Source organism: Homo sapiens, chromosome 14 (assembly GCF_000001405.40).
Source record: "Homo sapiens chromosome 14, GRCh38.p14 Primary Assembly".
NCBI lineage: Eukaryota > Metazoa > Chordata > Mammalia > Primates > Hominidae > Homo > Homo sapiens.
The window spans coordinates 79,981,905-80,004,295 of record NC_000014.9 but is presented as its reverse complement, the minus strand read 5'-3'; the positions used below and the strand labels follow the sequence as shown (position 1 = coordinate 80,004,295).

The 22,391-nt window shown below is 37.2% G+C and overlaps 1 long non-coding RNA gene across 1 annotated transcript, besides 1 other annotated feature; it reads left to right on the top strand.

Annotated features, from left to right (window-relative positions):
- Positions 796 to 1,090: an enhancer, noted in NCBI's record as "tiled region #2920; HepG2 Activating DNase matched - State 8:EnhW". NCBI's record gives its function as "activates a minimal TATA promoter and a strong SV40 promoter by Sharpr-MPRA in HepG2 cells {active_cell/tissue: HepG2}" and the evidence as "EXISTENCE:reporter gene assay evidence [ECO:0000049][PMID:27701403]".
- Positions 17,188 to 21,898, top strand: LOC105370590 (uncharacterized). Its single transcript, XR_001751017.1, has 3 exons — positions 17,188 to 17,290; positions 20,220 to 20,271; positions 20,808 to 21,898. It is a non-coding gene; the product is annotated as an uncharacterized LOC105370590 (long non-coding RNA).
- Positions 21,899 to 22,391: the final 493 nt, after the last annotated feature.

The window sequence follows — 22,391 nt, the reverse complement described above, 5'->3', positions numbered from 1 at the left end:
ACAGGGTGTTTGGTTTTCTTTTGGCCTTTAGAACTTAGCTTTCTTATAAATACAAGCATCAGTGTCAGTTAGTAGAGAAGGAATGGTAGAGGAGTCAGCCCTGCTGCTTCTATGACAAGTTGATGAATCCTTTGCAAAAATGAAAAGAAAATCCTGTAGTGGCTTATGCTATTTTCTTTAGCCAAAAATACGATTCAGTTCTAATGCCAGTGTCTGAATGAGAAGATCTTAAGCTTTAAGAAATGTTGCTAAAGAGAGTTCCACATAGCACCTTTTAGGACTGTATTATCTACAAATCAAGGGCTTTGTATGAAAGCCAAGTTTGTATTTGAACAGGCCTCATGAGCTATGGGGGAAATATACAAGTCAACAAAATTGCAAACGCCTGTACATATCTATTTCTTAAGAGAAAAATTGAAAGGCTAAATTTCTCTGGGGAATAGATATTGCTAGATAACAATTTTTCTTAGTGTGACTGTTCAACTTGTTTCCCTTTTACATTAGAAAAAATACAGGCTTTTAGGAACTTATGAGAAATGAGTTTGCAATCTTGAACTCACTTTACTATATTGGAAGAATAGACTGCATATTAAGTTGCCTGCCTCGTGAGAAACAGTCACTGAGATCCTAAAATGTTGCACATGTTTATTGAGTGTTTACTCTGCGATAGATGCTTATATTAGGTACTTGATGTATATCATCTCATTCGGGTTGGTGTCATCATTTTCACTTCTCAGAAGTGGGAATTGACTCAGAGACCTGACATTATTGGTTTAATAAATGGTACGGCTGGGATGTAAATTCAGAACTGACTCCACGTCCCACATGTTTTTCATTAGATCACACCACCTTCTTTGTGTCCCTCCCAGTGCTATGTAAATACAAAGCATTCAATAAATATTTGGTGAGTGTACAAAAGACTATTGAACTAGATTTCCCAAATGTAAATAAAGGATTATCAGGTCAAGCAGTGCTAAGTAAAGATGTGTGTTATTCACATTTCTGGCATGTAGGAAAGATTGACTCTGGATAAGCCTGTGACATGAACCATTTGACTGTCATTTTTCCACACTGCCGTAAATACCCATCTAGCGGTTTCTAACATATCATCTCCAAATCCCCATCACCACCAAGATACACATTTCTCCCAGTTTTCCATCACACCTTTTCATTAGAGCTAGTAAGAGTCTGAGATTTTACAACTTGAAGGGAACTTAGAGAACATCTACAATCCACAGGGCTGGATCTAATAGCAAATTAAGGCAGAGTCGAGACTATAAAAACAGTCTAATTCCCGTACAGTAGCCAGAAAATAGTTCTAAATGCAAATCAGATCACATGTTCTTTTGCTTAAAACTTTCCTACGACTTCCCCTCACTTCAAATAAGCCCAAAGTCCATAGGGTAGCTGGGAATGCCCTTCATGCTGCGACCTCTGCCTACCCTTCAACTTCATCTTATGTTTTTCTCTGCTGTTTCCATCATTTTCCAGTCATGCAACCCCCAGTAGGTCCTCAAACTCCATAATCTTTTCACTTCTCTGGGTCTTCTCATGTGATTTCCTCTCTGTCTGATTCATTCACATCACTGACTCCTGATCATGCTTTGGGTTTTGAATTAAAAATCATCTCCTCAGAGGCCCCTTTTTTGACCAATCTAATGAAAAAGTCCCCCCTCTAAAGTCTGTTCCTATCTCCACACCCTGCTCATTTGCCCCTGTGGCACGCATAGCCATTTCTAATTATGTATCTACCCATTGGTCTTCCTCAACAGTGTATAAGCTCCCTCGAGGCTGAGGACATATCTGTCCTAGTCACCAGCATATACTCCCCGTCATACACATTATTCAGCACATACTAATTTGTGATTAAATTTTTTGTGTGTGAATGAATGAACTGGAGTATTCTGACTTCAAACTAGTCCTCTTTCAACTACACTTTACAACTTATATTTTCCCATCCCTAACCCCTGTCACCTGCTTGTGACCACTTCCCTATTAATTTCCACTAATTTAATGCTATCACGAGCACTGAATTATGAGATACATAAATTTTTGTGATTCACAATTTAAAAAATGGTTATGCCTATTTAATTGAGATGCAAACACTTGTATTCTCAAGGAGGCCTTTAAAAAGGATGTTAATGAAATTGTAGGTTCCATAACAATCCATCGAGGGTGATTTTTCATCTCTCTTTTACACAGATGTTTATTCTCCCTACACCTAGGGCTGGGTATCTTGCAGTACAGTTTTCCCCCTGTGAGCCCACAGTATAGCAGAATGACTATTTAGTCCAAGTAGGCTTAAAATACCCCCACAGTGAAATTTAAGTTTCAAAATCTATGAGCGGTACATGTGGTAATCTCATCAAGAAAGTGCCATAAATTCCTGAAAGGCTGGATAGAGTTGTAGGAGCCAGCTCAAAGCTGCTTTTTTCTACTACTTCTTTCTCTCCAAACTCAAAGACATAGAGTACAGAGAAATAGAAGCTGTTTTTGAGTGATTGGCAGCCGCAGCAGGAATGAAGCTGAGTTTGTTGAAGGATAGATCTCCTTAGGTTTCATTATCATGGGGATCTGCAGTGGCTAGAAAGATCAGGGATGAAGTCTTCATAAGCAGTTGAGGAAGAGCCTACGTCTGGTCTGCATGGAACTGATACCCACCCCTGCCCCCCGCCATGTATCACAGGCTTTATATTAATATAAAGAAATTTAAGTCTTGTTGCTACAATGTCTCCAAATTCAGACTAACAGAGAGTGTGGAGCCCTTAGGTAGGTGAGGATCGTGCTAAATAGAAAGTGAGAATAGGAGAATCCAAACTCTTCCATGAGGATATTTTTCTCCGTGAACCTGGCTCAAGTTTCACAAAGGCCTTACTGAGGAAGGTCTAGAAGCTAAAGTAAGAACCCAGTAATTGTGGTTTACAGTCTTGTGTCCATTTTATGCTTATTTAAGCCCATTACATGATAAAAAATATACACCTATTCTATGATGAATCTTTTGTTATCCTTATTAAATTTCGAGTTTAAAGAACTCCTTTATAGATTCTGAGGATACGAGAATATTCATTTGGGTGAGTAGAGGTATTGCATTCCTGTCTAGCACTTTTAACAAATGTTTCCAGGTTAAATAATAATTTAATAGTAAATATAAACGTGAAAATGATTTCTTAAAAATAATCTTGGGGTGGGGGAAGTCTTTCTTAACATGATGGGGAAGGCAGAAAGCATAAAAGAAAACACCTGACAGATTACCTAAGAATTTTTGTAGAATAAAAGATTGAGGGCAAAAACTAGAAATGCAGATTATAAACTGGGAAAATTAGTTACAATACACAGAAAAGGTTAATATTCTTCATAATGGTACTAATTATAACAATAATAGCTAATATATACAGTGATTACTACATGCTAGTAATTGGAATAAGTATATATCTGGTTTGTTCAATGACTTTAACGTATGTCCTACTGTTAGACTCATTTTACAGATGAGGAAACTGAGATAGTGAGAAATTTAAAAACTTATCCAAGGCATGCAGCTTGTGAGTGGTAAAAATAAGATATAAATGATTTTTTTACAAATGAAAATGAAAAGCAAACAGCCCACTAGAAAAATGGGGCACATCTTCTTTAAAAAGACAACAACAGAAATGACGGAAAGGGTACAGTATTTTTATCTTTATCACAGAAGAGAATGCGTTTCCTGTTCAGGAAACACTTTGATGGACCTTATAGTCTGAGAAGAAGTCCTCCAGTTTTAGCTTAATTGAAAAGTGTAGGTACACGATCAAGATTGCCTGATATTTAAACTAACAGAAGTTTAGAGTTTATGGAGAGACTATGGAGTCTAGAATTTGGAGAAAGGTAGACACAGGGAAAAGAAAGGGCCCAAGAAGTGTGGAGAAGCTTAAGTAAGAACTAAGCAGGTACAGGGTAGCTGAGAAAGTCTCCCATTGGTGGGCGTGGCAAAGATCCATCCTGGGAACACTGAAGTCTAATACTGTTTATGATGCGTGGGCTATTCTATGTTGTAACCCCGTGTTGACTCCAAATTTGCTTAAACATTTACAACTTAAACGGGCTTCTATTAACACTGTGTTAGTCAAAAAAAGGAGTGGTGTCCCTCACGGGGTGAGGGCAAGTGGTTGAATAAGAACAGCAGCCACAAGGGAAGAGCCAATGGGTATAACCAACCCCACCATGTGCCAAACTCTCAGAAACGATGAGGAAAGGGTAATGATTCTCTAGGGTGTGGGGAGAGGGCTTATACAGTGGAAAGAGTGTTCAGAAGTGTGGAGTTGGGAACATCCAGGTGGCACAGGTTGGGGTTACATGGACAAAGCACATGTAGAGCTAATTCTTAGAAAAACACAGACATCCATTGACATAAAAAAAAAATTTCAATGTCACTAATTGTCAAAGAAATATAAAATTAAAAAAGGAATTTTGCTGATTAGAATGGAGATTTTTTTAAATGTTGATAATAGACTTCAACACACTGTTGGTCAGAATAATGCTTCCTATATGGGGCGTCAGAAATGGTCTGGAGGAATACTCATACTCTTAACCTTAGGTGTAACTGAAGCCCTCTGGCTGGTTTGCCTAGCTGAGAACAACTTCCTATGTTTATCTGCATGCCATTTGCTATGGTTTAAATGTTTGTGTCCCCACAACTTTTTATGTCGAGACTGAATCCTTAGTAGAACGGTATTAAGAGGTGGCATTATTAGGAGGTGATTAGGTCATAAGGGCTCTGTCCTCATGGATGGGATTAATATCCTTATTGAAGAGGCTGGAGGAAGCTAGTCCCCCCTTCTCCATTTGAAGACTCAGTTAAAAGGTGCCATCTATAAAGTGGAGTGTGGGCGCTCACCGAACACTGAATCTGCTGGTGCCTTGATCTTGAACTTCCCATCCTCCAGAACTGTGAGCAATACATTTCTGTTGTTTGTAAATCATCCAGTCTAAGGCTTTTTTTTTTTTTTTTTGAGATGGAGTCTCGCTCTTTCTCCCAGGCTGGAGTGCAGTGGCACGATCTCGGCTCACTGCAAGCTTTGCCTCCCGGGTTCATGCCATTCTCCTGTCTCAGCCTCCCAAGTAGCTGGGACTACAGGCACCTGCCACTACGCCTGGCTAATTTTTTGTATTTTTAGTAGAGACGGGATTTCACCATCTCTAGCCAGTATGGTCTCGATCTCCTGACCTCGTGATCCACCCACCTCGGCCTCCCAAAGTGCTGGGATTACAGGCGTGAGCCACTGTGCCCAACACAGTCTAAGGCATTTTTATAGCAGCCCAAACGATCTAAGATATCATCCAGACACTTTCATTTCCTCTATGCATCATGAGTTGAAAAAAAATGGTAAGTGCCACGTTAATGTCCAAAGTAGTACAACCATTCTAGAGTAGGCTGGCAATGCAAATCAACAGTTTAAATGCACATATTGCTTAACCTGGCAATTCTGTTTATAGAGACCCAGAGAAATTTATTGAAAAATCCACAGAGATATATGTTCAAGTTGTTTAATATAATATTGATTGCAAAAGCACTAAAAAGGTAAAAACCATCTTAATCCATTTTCCATTGATACATATTTATGTGGAGACTATACAATGTAATAGCATACATTCTTTTAAAAAGATTAAGGCAGTCTATGTGTGCTGAGATGATGCTCCATACACAGTGAAGAAAAGTAGAAAAATATCAAGTAATATTTATACCATGAGTTATTAATATGAAAATATAAGCTATTTACCTGATACATTTGGAATTAAAGCAAAGCAATAAAGATTTCCATTTTGGATATAAATCTTGCACTATCAAAAATATAAATAAATATAAAAATATTTTAACCAAGTGAAATAATTACAGTAAAAGTTTGTTGCATATAGCAGGCAGACAAGGAAGAAAGCTTTTCATATTGGTGCCTCGTCCAGCTTTTTCCTGTCTCAGTGTGACACAAGTAACGTTCACACACAAAAGGTAGAAGACCACTTAATGTCACCCTCTAAAGATATTACATAGTTCAGCCAGGGATGTGAGTATAGTATAGCTAGGAGAAATGGGTCTCACTATTTGTGATTTAATTAGAGAAATCTTCAGCTTCAAGAATTGTTAATCTAGCATCTTCTGAGCATTCTGTTCATCTCCCAATATTTTTTTTGCCTTTCATAGGATTAAAGAACTAATTTAGAAAGATTGTTGAGCAGATTTTTATCAGGTTTAGCCTGTAGCTATGCCAACGTTTGACTGTATATGTTGTGCAAATATAGCTAACAGGTTTTCCTTCTCTCTTCTGCCAAAACCCAAAACATTGACAACAAAGACATGCAATGTGATAAAAACAGCGACATAAGTTATTTGGAGTCTGAAAAGGCAGTCAGTCTTCAATGGAAGAGCTAAACATGCCTCATGATATCCTAAGCCATTAGCAAAACACTTCGTCTGCAAATATATTGAGCATCTACAATATGCTATATTCAAAGCATTCTCAAGAGCTTCTGGGAAATAAAATAAATACTGGGGGGAGAGACTTAAAATTATATGGGAATAGATGTGATATATAAGTTTTTACGCTTAATCATCAAAAACATAGAGTTCTTGGCTTTCTATAAATGTAGTCATCTCCTACATGAAATTCATTCAATAACTTTCAGAGGCTGGATATGTCTGTTGGAGTAGGATGTAAGGATACAAACTTGGCAATTTTAGTTCCAGCAAACTCTTTTACTTTTGCATTGTCTCTCTCAGGTTGATCAGGGTCATCTGGGTAAATACTCAGGTGTTTTAAACTCCAATTTCCATCCAGGACTGGTTATCCTCTCAACTTTTTCCTTCCAAAAGTAGAATCTTGGTTCAAAGGGAGCTGATATAACCTCAGTATTTTGAGGTTTGGCCTGTTTTTCATGTCATCATCTTATTCCACTTCTCTCAGAGAATCAGCCTCTCTCAGTCCTGATTTTGATCGTGATGGAGGCTGTTCCCACTGAGTTTGTGAAGACGTCAGTACCTGCCACTGACCTGGAATCAGGACCACCAATAGCCTATGTGGGGCATTTGGACATTTGTCAGAACTGGGAAGAGATTTCCCCTGCAGGTAGACACTGCTATCCACCAAAGCGAGTGATTCTGGATGCAGAATGTTGTGTCCGCAAACCCTTTCAGTGGGGTCTTTGGCACAGGGCCCAACCTGCACAGCCATACATGGACCTCCTGTCGTGAGCTTTGCTTCTCATAAAGCTTCCTGCCTCTGCTCTGTCTGCAGCTCAATGTCAGGCAACTGCTGGCCCACTGAGTCCTTAGTGACCTTCTCTTTGGCATGACACATTGCCCTTCTGAATCCCTTCCACATTAGAGGGTATGGGAAGCCAGTATTACAATCTCTAAGCTCAGGGTCATCTGTACAGGTACTTGTGACAAGGTCATAGGCAAGAGGCTGCTTCCTGATAGACACTAGCAACCATGAATTCACAGACTGCCTTGTTGCAAGAATGAGAGCTTAAGGTGTGATCAGGCACACCCCAAGTTTACCATACAATGGTAGAACCAGCACCTTTGCATTTACTGCTACCTGCAGTACAGTAAAAGTGCTCTTCAACTAAAGTGCTTAATTAATTTCATCAAAGCAAACAGCAAGCAAATTTTTGAAAAATTCACACCCAGTAAATCTTGACTGAGGTTATGTACCTTGCATGAAGCTAGCTCTGAGTAGACAAATGGAATGGGGACACTTATTCCATATCTTTCTGATTTGTCTTAATATATAACTTTATTAGATTATTTGGGAATGATGAAGAGTTGACTGCATTATGGCTACTGTAAAGTGATTAAGACATGAGAAGTTACCAACTCTTTTATTAACTGTCTTGTGTTAAGATACCTAAAGTGCCCTTCTTCTGCTATGAGTTTTTATTTTTTAATATACTCTGAACTCATGATTGACTTTTAGACAGTCATATCAATGTGATTATTTTAACATTATTATCTTTACAATATAATCTTGGGTATTAACATCACTCAAGTGTGGTGCTAGTGACTTCTTCATGGTGTGTCTGTAATTGGGTTTTAGGGGAGTCTGCATACCCCTGAACCTGTATGCTTATTGCAGTGTGTTTCCTGGGAAAAGGTCCATGGCTTGCATTACGTTTCCTAAAGTCACTATGACAAAAGGAGGTTAAAAAGAAAAAAACATATAAACAAAAAACGGCCACCTAGAACACAATTAGAACCAGCACTAAAGAATCTGTCATCACACATCTATGTGGGAAATACTTTTTCCCTATCTCCCCATCTTTCTTTTGTTAGGTAAGAAATGTCTAATTAAATGTAGTTAGAATATCTCTTGTCTTTACCTGATTTCCTTAAACCTAAACTAGATTAACTATCTTTGCTCTTTAGCAGTCACTAGAGCTTATAGGAAGAAAAGCCAGAAAAAATGAACTTCTTCTCACTCCTTTAGATCTACTGTACAAATTTAATATCTGTTAGAACCCCCAGGGGCTTCAGTGGAGCAATATATAAGAACAAAAATATAATACAGAAAAACACTGCCTCATATGCTATTGCAGTCACATATATACAATCTTTTTTGTCTTCAAGAGGGGAAAACATACAACCATTTAAGTTGCACCTAATCTGCATAAAGAAATGAGAATTTTAAGATGTTTCCATGAAGAGCTGAAAATAGAGTTCAGGCTTCTTTCTCCATTACAGCTGGAGTCAAAATGACAAAGTAAATAAATTTTCTTTCTCAACATTGTTCCTGCCTTTGCAGCTGAAAAAATATTTGCAGGAATATTTTTCAAAAAACAATATAATTTAGATTATATTTTATTAAGGAATCTACAAACTTCTGATGTTTGGAACATCAGAACAATGGATTACAATGAATTCAAAATAAGTTTATTTAATCGGAATTTTTTTTTCATCGCAATTAGCTTGTTTTCTTATTCCCGTTGCGAGACCCCATCTTGCATCTTAGTAGTGCCAGGTATTTGACAAACTGACCACTGCGGCATCTTTTGTTTTTCCTTGCCCTACAGTTACGAGCAAGGCTTCCATCTGTACTAACTCTCATCTATCCCATTGCCATAGTCTCCCTGTTGGCTTCCTTGACTCTGTGCTCTCTTTTTGCAATCATTTCTCCAGACTATAATCTGATTAACATTTGCAAAGTCCAGAAGGACTCACAGTCCTACCTTCCCCTAAACTATCTAACGGTTTCTTCATAAGAGAATATGAATTCATCCTTGGCTTGGCATTCAATGCTTTATCATGCACTCCTCCTCTCTTACTCAGATTTCAACCAGCCTTTTCATCTTTGTCTTTAGAATAGGTCCGCAGTGCCCTTGGGATTGTAAATTTTTCTCCGTATTTAAAACCTACCAAAGTTGAAAAAAGTGTCTTTGATATGTCTTTGGTCCTCCCCAGCAGAAATCAATCTCTTCCACATCTTAACTCTCCTAGCAGATCTTCCATTAAAGATTATTGCTTCAGGTACTTTCTAGGACAAAGAAGTCTTTGATCAGCCTTTGAGTTTGGACTTTATTAAGTCTACGATGAGATAACAATTTTTATAGGCATACTGTGTGCATAGAGAGCAGAGTTTTTCTAAACTCCAACAACTATTTTGGCATATGAAGAACCAAATAGAAAACACAAGTTACAAACGATAAATAAGTAGACTGAACTTCACCAAAATTAAAAAGCTTTTGTGCTTCAAGGAACACAAGAAAGTGAGAAACAACCCAGAAAATGGTAGAACATATTTGTAAACCATATATCCGATAAGGGAATTGTATCTAGAATATATAGAAAACTTAAATCTCAACAATAAGAAAACAACCAGATTTAAAAATGATCAGTCTTTGAAAGGAATTTTTCCGCAGAAGATATACATATGACAAATAATCACATCAAAAGATGCTCAACATCATTAGCTAGCAGGGAAATGCAAATCAAAATCACAATGAGATAAAACTTTATACACAGAAGGATAGCTATAAGCAAAAGGACATATAATAGTACTGTTGGTAAGGATGTGGAGAATTGGAACTCTTACATACTGCTGGTTGGAGTGTAAAATGGCTCAGCCTACTTGAAGAGAGCCTGACAGTTTCTCAAAAGGTTAAACGTAGGCTTACCATACAAACCAGGAACTGAAGCATACACCTAAGAGAATTGAAAATCAAGTGTACCCTAAAATCTACACATGAATGTTCATAGAAGTGTTACTCATAATAGCCAGAAAGTAGGAATAACTCATATTTCCATTAATTGAATAATGGGTAAACAAAATGTGGTCTATGTATACAATGGGATATTATTCAGCAATACAAAGGAATGCAGTACTGATGCATGCTACAACATGGATAGACCTTGAAAACATTATGCCTAGTGAAAGAAACTGGTCACAAAAAATCACATATCATATAATTCTACTTATGTGAAATGTCCAGCACAGTTAAATTCACTGAAAAAGAAAGTAGATCCATGGTTGTCAAAGGCTGGAGGAAAGAGGAAAATGAGAAATTATTGCTAATGTATATGGGGTTTCTCTTTGGGGTGCTGATAGTGTTTTGTAGTTAGATTGTGGCAATAGTTGCACAACTCCATGAATATATTTATAATCACTGAATTGTATAATTTAAAAGACTAAATTTTATGTTACATGAATTCTACTTCAATCAAGCTGGTGATTTAAAAAATTCTAGTTGGAACAAAGTGTGATTTAAAAAGAAATCAATCATGGTGGGCTTTGGACCATCCAGTTTTACTAAAATAGTCAGAGCAAATAAAGGAAATGATATCAGAGCAACTTTCCTACAATTTGGACAAAAAATAAAGTTTTAAATAATAAGCAGGAAGCAGAGAAATAAAAAAGAGTAGGAGAAAGATGCAGTCTGGGTCTCTCAGGGACCCCAAAGCACTGTGCTCAGGTGAAATGATGGAAATTCTGATAGAAAATCCAGATGGCTTAAGGAAAAATCTGATCTCGTGCTCTGCTGCCATATCCTGTAAGGCAGTTCCTCTAATTCCAATGTCTTGACCTTTTGTTCCTTTCAGTGACTGGCCTTAGAAACCTACATACTTAAGGTGTTTCCAACTTTTTGAATCTCTGTTATGAACCCCACTCTGACTTCAGAAATTCCTTTTTTTCTGAGCTGAGTCCTCCAACCATTTTCACCCTGCCACCACAAAGAAGTCAGGCACACAGAACAGCACAAGAATGTGAAAAGGGAAGTTAAAGTACCCCAGAGGGCCTCTCGCCTGGGATGACAGTAGTTTATAAACTACCATGTTTGCATATCAAGCCATTCTGTTATTTCCTTTGATCCTCAGCAGGGGACTAAGGGAGAGTCTTTGAAAGGACACTAGACAAAGACCATCAAGGAAAAAAAGACTTAGGATCCTACGGGGACAGTCAGCAGATCCAGATGCTGAGTGTCTCTCCCTGCTCTCTCAAACTACAGAGACAGATTAAACTGCCCCTTGGGTTTTGAGATGAGGACTGGAGAGTTGATTCCAAGGTCAGGAGGATTTCAATATTCACCACGAGGCCAGTGCAACGAATATCAGCAGCAAAACCTAAAAAAAACCAATGAAAATAAATAAAAAATAAAAATAAAAAAATGGGGATGCTTAATTCATTGACTCAGCAGTCAAAATTATCATAATGGTGGAATGAGCATATACTGACCTCTCCTGATGCCCCAAATCCTTTAACATACATATGCATATGTACATACACATAAATATATACATATTTATAAATTATTTAGATAAAGATGAATTCAAGAATATTATTAAAGCATAAAAGATACTGTCTTGACAAAAATTTGTGATGAATTCCTTAAAGATATAAAGCAGGTAGAAGCCAGTTGACAAAGAGAAAATATCATGAGAATCTATAACTCAAGGTACCGGAGGAGGGGTCAGCTATGATGGTGGCAAGGATGGTAGGTGACTCAGTTAACAAAGGAAACAGGCTGAGACCCTGAAGCAATTAACACTGTGAATAAAAAGTAAGTGTATTCCAAGTTCCTGGGTCTGTTGGGTGAAGGCTTGGGAGGCTCCACAGCCCAGGTCTAAAGGACTGAGGATCGATGTTGGCACTAGAGACAAACCAGAGAGTGCCTGTTGACAACTGGGAATATCTTAGGGAGAGAGGTTTTAGTCTCACTGACTGATCCTCTGCGTAGGAGCCCTGTGTTCCACTGCTAAGTTACTTGCAGTTCCCTGAATGTGTGTCCTCCTCTCATAGGCCACTGTGTTTTCATCTACATGCTGTGTGCCATCCCACCCTGAGCTACCGGAAAAATATTACTCATTACATAATTGAATACATGGGAAGTGCTTATAACCATGCCTGAAACATAAAAAAGTACTCAAGGAATCTTTTATTATTATTCCTATAACTCATCACTTAAGTCTTATTTCAGAAGTCACGGTGACCTCAGACAATCATTTCTTTACCTAACTCCTTCAAAGTGGAATTAAGAACTTTCAAAATACTTATCGTTTTTGGTTTTAGGGAGGGAAGGGTATTGACCTGTATCTCTATTTTGATTGTGAGGAGAGAGATTTTTAACTTAATTGTCTCTTCAGCATCTAGCTCACATACTAGCACATAATAGGCATTAAATGTTTTTGCTGAGTAGTGAACAAATAAACTATAAAAGTGATGGTTTTCTTCATATAATCTATAAGGTGTGAGCCCTGCCAGCAGATCATTAAACATTAATTATTTTACCCCAGAGACTGGAAATTAACAGCTGTATGAACTCTCACCTCTGATACGGGTGCCATATTTAATGTCTTTGAACTATGTGGCTCAGTGAACTCCTTGGAATAAGACAAAGGTCATCATGTTGCCAACTCCTTATCACATGTCATATTTCTGTAATCATAAGTTTTGAGAGGAATAATTAAAAACTTCATCACGAGAAGCCCTTTTCTTATTATTCAAGACAGAATTGGAAGATTTGGTCCTAAAACCACTGGCGTGTTCTCTATCAGTGGCCATAGTGAATAAGATGGTTAATTTTATATGTCAGCTTGGCCTGGCAACAGTGCCCTGCTATTGGACCCAACATGAATCTAAATGTTTCCGTGAAGGTATTTTTGGATGAAATAAGCATTTAAATCAGTAGACTTTGAGTAAAGATTGCCCTCCAAAATATAGGTGAACTTCACTCAATAAGTTGAAGGTGAAGAGAACTTGGTTAAGAGGTACAAAAATATGGTTAGGTAGAAGAAATAAATTCTAGTATGTGATAGTACAGTAGGGAAACAATAATTTATTGTATATTTCAAAATAGCTAGAGAGAAGATTCGTAATGTTCCCAACACAAAGAAAAGACAAATGTTTGAGGTGATAGATGGTCCAATTACCCTGATTTTATTACTACACATTATATGCAGGTACCAAAGTATATCAGGTACCTCCCAAATATGTACAACTATTATATACATAAAAATAAATAAATGCAATAAATAAATAAAAAACAAATAAAAAAGAAAAAAGACTGCCTTCTCAAAGGAAGAAGGAATTCTGCTAGCACAGTGCCTTCAGACTTGAACTCTTCTTACTTGTATCTCTGACCTATTCTCTTTCTCTTTACACACACACACACACACACACACACACATACACACACACCCTTATTGATTTCGCTCCTTTGGCTGACCTTGACAAATACAGTGAAGATGGACTTGAAGGTCACAACTGCCTAACCAATTTAATATAGTCTAAAACTTCAATTCCTATCCCCTAGTAAATGAGTAGGAGCTTCCCCTGGGCAAATTCAAGTACACAGTGTTGTCCTCAAATCCATCTTTTTCTTTCTTCCATGTCCTCCTCCAACCTATAACATCATCTTCCTTCTCCCACACAAAAGGACACATACTTTTATGTTCTCAGAGCACTCCTCCCTGGGACCATGCAGAAATTTAAAATATGATAGGGCTGCCTCTCTCTTATAGAGCACACAGCAGCTGAGAAAGAAACTAGAAAATTCATTTTCTAGACATTGATGTGCATTTAAGAGCCCATTCTGAGATTACTTTCTTTCTATTGTTGTTGTCCCTGGCATTGTAACAAAGAACCTGTCTGAAGGCATCACTCATACGAGACTTCAGCCTTTGTGTGAAGGTGAGGATGCACACTGTGGGGATGAAGTTGGCTTTAACACTCTGCAAGTCATGCCAAGGATGTGACTAAATACATGATTAGTTATATGAAGGCTGAGATGTAGTTACATCATGAGAAAGTTGTTTAAAATACAATGTGAACTAGGTGCGGTGGCAGGCATCTGAAGTCCCAGCTACTTGGGAAACTGAGGCAGGAGGGTCACTTGAGCCCAGGAGCTGAAGTCCAGCCAGGGCAACATAGCAAGACTGTCTCTAAAAAGAAAGAAAGAAAGAAAGAAAGTAAAATAAAAGAAAAAAGAAACAGTGTGAACTAACCTGAATTGTATTAATTGTTAGCTCTCCTTGGGAAGCTTCACCTTTCTGCTGGGGCTGCTGTTTACACAGACACTCCTAGCACAGAAGGGGCTTTATGAGAAACTATAGCACCTGTGTTTCCCTTTGCACACTTCATCTTTTCTTTATGGGGTCCTTCACAACTATTTCTCCCCAGCTGCCATTCAGCTAAACAGATGCTTTGAATGATGGCACGAGGCGAGAGATCTCCACAGCATGGTTGTCAAGAACTCTCTGCAACGAGACTTTTTAGGAGAGTAAAATATAGCCCCAATCTCTATAATGTTTGTAAACTTTGGGAAAATTGTAAGTTTGTGACGTGTTACTACCAAATTGGGATAAACATAAGGGAGCATATGCTGTACAAAAGGAATAATCACATGTCTTCACATTTGTTAATTTCAAGAGGTTTGCGATGGGATTTGACACTATTCCTCCTCAGTGGTCCCAGGAACACAAAACATTAAGCAGTGTCATCTACTCACTTATGCTATTTCAACTGCCACTATGAAGGTCTCCCAGCAATACATGGTTCCTTCTTCAGTACCCATTGAACCCAGGCTGCCTTTAACCTTGCTCTACATTCTGGTATTCTACACTTGTGTGGGATTCCTGGTCTTGCGTATCCATGCTCAACTAATGCTAAGTCATTCATCAATGATTACCCAGAAGCACTAGGTGAGTCCAACCCAGTGCATGATACTGTAATTGGCACTATACAAAATAAATTTGAGAAATGTGATTTCTGTCCTATGTGAAATGTAATCTAAGATATACTGATGGGCCATTCAGGTGTACATATATGTGGATAGTACAGTAAAACACTTGTTGTTTGCCACACTAGCATCAGTTTCATCTTCTTCTAAAAATATACCTTCTTTCTGTGAAGGGGTATATTCTCCCTCCACTCTCTATTTATGTGGTCTGAAGCAGATCTTAGAGATGGGGTAAACCATGTAACCCAGGGCTAAGCAAATCAGTATATCAAGATGATAGAATGTGGTAACCTAAGCTGGCATCATCTTACAACCCAAGAGAAGAGCTTCTCTGGAGCAAATTAATGCTGAGAAAGCTGAGCTTGAAGATGGAGAAAGGGAACTCTAATCCTGGCAACTTTACTTGAGTCCTTAGTAATGCTTTTCTAACAGATTAAATATGGCAGAAGAAATGCTGTTTGAGTTTCCAGGCCAGGTCATAGACAGGGTATCTTTCACTTAGCCTGCTCTCTTGGGTCACCAGTTCTGGAGGGAACCAGCACCACATCATGAAGACAAAACAGTCTTGTGGGAGGCCCATGTGGGCTGGAACTGAGGCCTCAACAGCACCACCATGCTAGATGAGCACCTTGGGAGCAGAGCCTCTGGTCCCAGCCAAACTTTCAGATAATTGCACTTCCAGCTCACATCTTGACTCAATCTCATGAAAGAACCTGAGGCAGAACCACTCAGAGAAGTCACTACAAAATTCATAACCCACAGAAACTCTGAGGATAATAAATGTTTATTCTTATTTTAAGTCAGTATGTGACTTAAAATATTAACACAAGACAACTACTACAAGTATACCAAAAGAATCTTAACTAATACAGTTAATAAAGCCAAGACAAAACAAGAAAATTCATGATATTTTTCCGAGCCAAATTAGTCCATGATTGTCCCTATTTTAATTGATATGGCCAATAACTGCAGCACCAAAAGTGTTTTTTAGGAAAGTTTACTAGGTAGCTACTTTTTACAACAGAATTCCAAATAAAATATTTAAGTGTAAAAAATGACACTACAAAAACAAGAAAATTATTGTGAAGTAGGAAAGTTTTTCTAAGTGTGTTAACTAACCCATAATTCCATATAGGAAAAGATTGACAGGGTTGTCTATGTAAAAATTTTAAATGGTGAGCAAAATAAAATTCACACAATAAGGTCAAAAGGCAATAGGATAACAAGTGTAACCCTTAATAACCAAAATATTAGCATTCTTGACTTTAAAACATTTTAATAAAAATAAACAAATGAGCAATTGACAAAATCAGTTGAACAGCTAATAGGCATAGAAAAAGACTGTAAGTACCACCAATAATCAAAGGAAGAAAATTTTTCAGATTGGTAAAAAGTTGTCAGTTCTTAGCAACGATTTGAGGAATTAGATAGTTTCATCCTGCTAAGGGGCTCATGAGTACTGATTTTTTTTTTCTCTCAAACTAGTTTGAATTGGCTTTCTGTCACCTGCCAAAGAATGAGTTCAAAACTCACCAGATGAGAGCTTTTTTTCTCCTTTCTTCTAACTTAAAAAAGAACTTCTTTATGAAAATAAATATGTTATCCCTATATATAAAAATATTTCAATCCAAATATTATAAATCTGGCTCAAAAAGGGAAGAGGAAAAGGCTTTAATTTCACTTAGGCACAGTCCTCAGTTAACTAGGTCCAACATCCTCCTGCTCTGGCACACTACTTTAGAGTGGTCTGATACCTCAATGTCATTTGATTTCTGATGACTTTCAAAAAGGAGAACTCTAGACATACTTTGCTTAATGCATGTCCAAAATAAGAAAAACAAAATGTATACATGAACATCAAATCCGAGGACATTTTCTTTTACCAGATACCTTCCTTTTTAAAATTTTCTTATAAAATTTCTTTAGATAACAATTTCCTCTAGAGAGTTTCTGATTTGATTTAATTTATAAATAACTTTCCAGAAACATTTGCAAAAGTCCAGCGAAGCACTGGTCACCTGGTTCAGGAGTTCAACCCCATTTTTAACTATTGACGTTAACATGCAGAAACAGAATCAGGCCCCAGAAAAAGGTAAAATAGGGTTGGGTAAGTTTTAGGTATTTTTTAAGTAAAATGAATCTTGTTAGCAATAGTTGGCAGTCTTACTGCCTTTAGATGATTTATTTTATGCATGAGTTGGTATAGTTTCTGTCTTGTGGGGGGCAATTGTTTTATTGTTGTATGTCATTGCAATTTAAAAAAAACTACAGAAAGCGAATGTTAGAAACAGCAGTCTGTATTGCCTGTTGGATTGAATTCTCTCTATATAGAGTCATAAATACAGAGATCTCAAGGGCTAGAAAAATTTCAACTTACAAACTGCATGAAATTGAGGAGAATTTTGAATTCTGCTTGGGTTGTATAAATGTTTTAATCACTATGCTAAGATGTAAAGTTACCTGCTCTCCTGGACTGTTAGTTGATTGTCTTTTTAATATTCCAATGAGATATTTTGGTTTGGGGACACAACTATGAACACACACATTCTAGCTTAAAAGAAGAATCTCTTTCCTTAGTGAAGCAAAAACAACACTACAGCATATTATTTCTATTTATGTAACGAATAGTGTTGGCTGGTAGCCAAGTGGAACATTGAGCTATGTTAGCCCCTGAAATGTCTGAAGATGATGACAGATGGAGAATATAATCTCAGCTATGGTATTTGCAAATGATTTCCACTTGGAGCCATATGGGTCCTGGTATATCATGAAGATAATAATGAAGATTTCAATTAGAAAGATAGCTGAAATGACTTTAAAAAAAAGGAAATACATCATTTACTAACTGAAAAGCCCAGGGTAGAGTTTTATGCAAGCCTGCCTAAATTTAAGAGCTCAAGACATGGCCTAGGGAACTGGTCTCTCTCTATCACAGTTAATTTACATGTCAACTTGACTTGACCATGAGCTGCCCAGATATTTGGTCAAATATTATTTTCAGTGGGTCTGTCAGGCTGTTTTTGAATGAGGTAAATCTTTGAAATAATAGATGGAATAAAGCAGATTTGTCAGAGGCATTTGAACCAGAGTGACTCCATCTTGAATAGGACTGGGTAAAATAAGGCTGAGACCTACTGGGCTGCATTCCCAGGAGATTAGGCATTCTTAGTCATGAGATGAGACAGGAGGTTGGCACAAGATACAGGTCACAAAGGCCCTGCTGATAAAACAGAATGTGCTAAAAGAAGCTAGCCAAAACCCACCAAAACTAAGATGGCAATGAAAGTGACCTCTGGTCATCCTCACTGCTTATTTTACATTAAATATAAAGCATATGCATGCTAAAAGAAACTCCTACTAGTGCATGATGGTTTACAAATGCCATGGCAATGTCCAGAAGTTAACCTATATGGTCTAAAAAGGGAAAGGACCCTCAGTTCTGGGAAATATCTGCTCCTTTCCTAGAAAACTCATGAATAATCCACCCTTTGTTTAGCATGTGATCAAGAAATAACTATAAATATACTCAACTCAGCAGTCCATACTGCTACTCTGCCTATGGAGTAGCCATTCTTTTATTCCCTTACTTTCTTAATCAACTTGCTTTTACTTTACTCTATGGACCCGCCCTGACTTCTTTCATGTTCCAGGTCTAAGAATCCCCTCTTGGGGTCTGGATCAGAACCACTTTCCCATAACAGATTGTCCTCCTAATGTGGGTGGCCCTCATCCAATCAATTGAAGGCTTGATTAGAACAATAGGGCTGACCGTCCCACAGGTAAGAAGGAACTCCTCTTGCCTGATTGCTGGACCTGGAACATCAGTCTTTTTCTGCCTTTGAAGGAAGGAAACATAAAAGTAAATAATGTAGTACAGACTTTGCAATTTTTTAAAATTATTTTTAAAATAAAACAACTTTTCCCAATGAGTCTCTCTTAGGTGCTTAGTTTATCTCTAAATCCAAGACCTTTACACACAATTGGTTTTGCTATAACCAGGAAAGGCCTCTTTTTAGATACATCAGATATCTCGCTCTAACTCCCTCAAAAGCATGTTGAAATGCTAGAGGGAAGATTTTTCCTCTTTGATAATTTGTTGCTCTCAAACTAGTGTGATCCGTATAGACTAGAAAGCCAGTGTGTTTATGAAACCAGGGTACTTATTTCTAGAGACTTGTGGAAACATTAACGAGGATCCCCAGGGACAGGCTACCTGACAGACTATTTTTGCTTCTTATTTGTGCAGATTAGAAATAAAATGAAACGTGCTTTGATTTTTTTATTCTCTTTTACATTTCAAAATATATTTTTAAAAAAACAAAATAAAAACCTAAGTAAATTTAAAAAATAAATACAACAGAAATTGTATATTTATCTGTGACAATGCTACCAGACTAACTAAAACTCAAATATTTTGTGTTTAGATGGAATTCTTTCAATCTAGTTGTTATTCTTCCCCAGGCAGGAACTCTGCTTGTCAATTATTTCTATTTTTCCTATTCAATGAGAAGGCAAATTGTTACCTGGAACCAAATATTTCCAAACATGGAGTCATGGGGTGTGTAGAAAATAATAAAGGAATCTTTTGTATGAAAACATTTCAACCCTTAGCATCATATACAGACAAAATGAAAGTATCATTGAAATCTAAGAATCAGCAGCAACGGTATAAGTAACACATGATCAGGGCCTATTCAATGTTTTCAAATGATCATCCTTCCTGAGTATCCCTCCTAGACAGTATAAATGGAGTTAAGTACACTTAACATCGTTAGTGAAAACACATACATTTAAGCAAACACAGCAGATGACATAAAAATAGTACTGATATAAATGTGAAATCCATTTGTCAAATACTCAATAAGGTGAGCACTTGGGATATTTAACAATGTACTTGGATGATGGTATGCATTTTCTAATTTATTGGATGCTTGCTTCTTTCATAAATGTAAATTATATATCATTACTCTTTCTAGAACACTGCTGTCCTAAAGTTAATTTAGTGATAATTTTTTTTTCAGATAATATACCTGCTAAGGAAGTAGTATGTAATCAATAGAGGAAAGTAATCAAGTGAGTAGCAGAATACACTCCCCACTTTCTCTGCTGCAGTGGAGGTATACAATAGGTCTGGGATAAAGTATTAAAACAAAAACAATGATACAACTTTCATGACATGATAACAGTCATGACCCCAAATTTCTTCTCTATTGGAGGGTCTTTTTATTTTTTGTCTCAGCTGTTCCACCTCTTAGTACCCTGTTTCCAGCTAAGGTTTCTTATTTACTGTCACCCTTCTTTCCCATCCTCTTCTTATGTCAGAACAACTCCCACTCCCTTCCCTAAGAAACTGTATTTCTGTTATTTGATTATGCAGAACAACTTTTGCATTCCTTTTCTGTAATACTCCTTTATCCCTTATAGCCCTGACCTGAACCTTTACGTAAGCAAAAGGACCACTAAAGTGTTTTCCCAAGAGTTATTTCTTTAAAAGCAATGCTGCCCTCTTCTTATCAATAGGTTCTAATTACAAGCGCCTTTTACATTTTCTGTTTGTCACTGCTTCTAGGAAGGACCGGTAAGCTCCTAACTAATTTGTCTTTCCACAGATAACAACTATGAACTCTGGACAAAACACAGTAAAGTATCTGAAAGCACTCGAGAATTAACATCAACAGATTCTAGAGGGAAGTTGACACTTGGGAGAAACAAAAGGCACTGAATGTGTTTCTTATTTTAATTCCTTCTCCTCCTGCTTCTCTCCTCTTCCCAACACCCTCCTTCTCCCTCTCTTCCTCCTCTGCATATTCCTCTTCCTCGTTCTTCTCCTCCTCTTCTTCCCCTTCTTCTTCTAATTAATAACAGTTTTTATACTTTGGGCAAGTGGCAGGCAGAGCCAGGCAGGTCAGGTGAAGGTCTAACACAAAACCCACAGGTTTTCAGGCCTAAAAACCAGAGGACAGAGTTGGGGAAAATACCATTTCTGGAAAGTCAGGTAGGGATTGGGGGGATCCCAGAAAGAAGAGAGCCAGAGAAGAGGAGATGCAAATTCTTTGTTTAAACTTTTTTTCCCCAGATCTCTGACTGACACATGAACAATGCATGCTTAGGGCAGACTTCAAGACTAGAAAATAAAACGACTGAACTGAGCTTTAAATTGACATCTGAAAGAGAGCCTTTGCAGGTGGACTCTAACAAATGACAAAGCCTGCACAAACAAAACAAACTACTAACTTTCTTTTAGAGAAACATAAATCCAGAGCCTCTGCAATATAACTTGCATAATGTATGGGAAACAATCCAAAACCACTTGACAAAAGAAGATATGAGAAAATGTAAATGGAGATTGATGCCAACGTGATTGAGCCAGATACTGGAAGTAGCTGACAAGCATTTTAAAGCAGCTCCACAAACTGCGTTTAAGAAAGTAAAAGGAAATATGCTCATAGTGAATTAAAAGAGAAATAAAAATTATAGGCAAAAAAGGAAGTTCTAGAATTTAAAAATACATAAGAAATTGTAAAAATAACCAAATAATCTTAATTGCAGAATAGAAACTCAATGTTGTTAAGAAGTTTTTCCTCCCCAAATGTATCTATAGAATCGATGCAATTTCAGTATTTCAGTCAGAATTCCAGGAGGCTTCTTGTTTTTTTTCTTTTACAGAAATTGGTAACCTTGTTCTAAAATTTATACAGAAAGGCAGGAAATCCGAAAGAGTAGAAAATTATTTTAAAAAAGAACAAATGTATAGGACTTACTATAAAACTACAATAATCAAGACAGCGTAATGCTGGTGTAAAAATAGACATATAATCAATGTAACAGAATAGAAAGCCCTAAAGAAACATACATATATGGTCAATTAATTTTCAACAAGGTGCCAAGATAATTCAATGAGGAGGAGAGGGGAGAAATAAATTTTCAAGAATTAGATGTGAAAACTAGATATCCATGTGGAAAGAATGAATGATTATGCTTATTTTCACCATATACAAAATTAGCTTAAAAGAAACCATAAACAAAAATATAGAGACACAAATGAATCAAGAAAAATAATAACATATGTTCATCAAAACATTTGTACAGAAATGTTCATAGCTGTCTTACTCATAATAGTTTAAACCTGAAGAGAGTTAAGGTGTTCATCAATAGGAGAATGGATAAACAATTGTAGTATAGTCACATGTGGT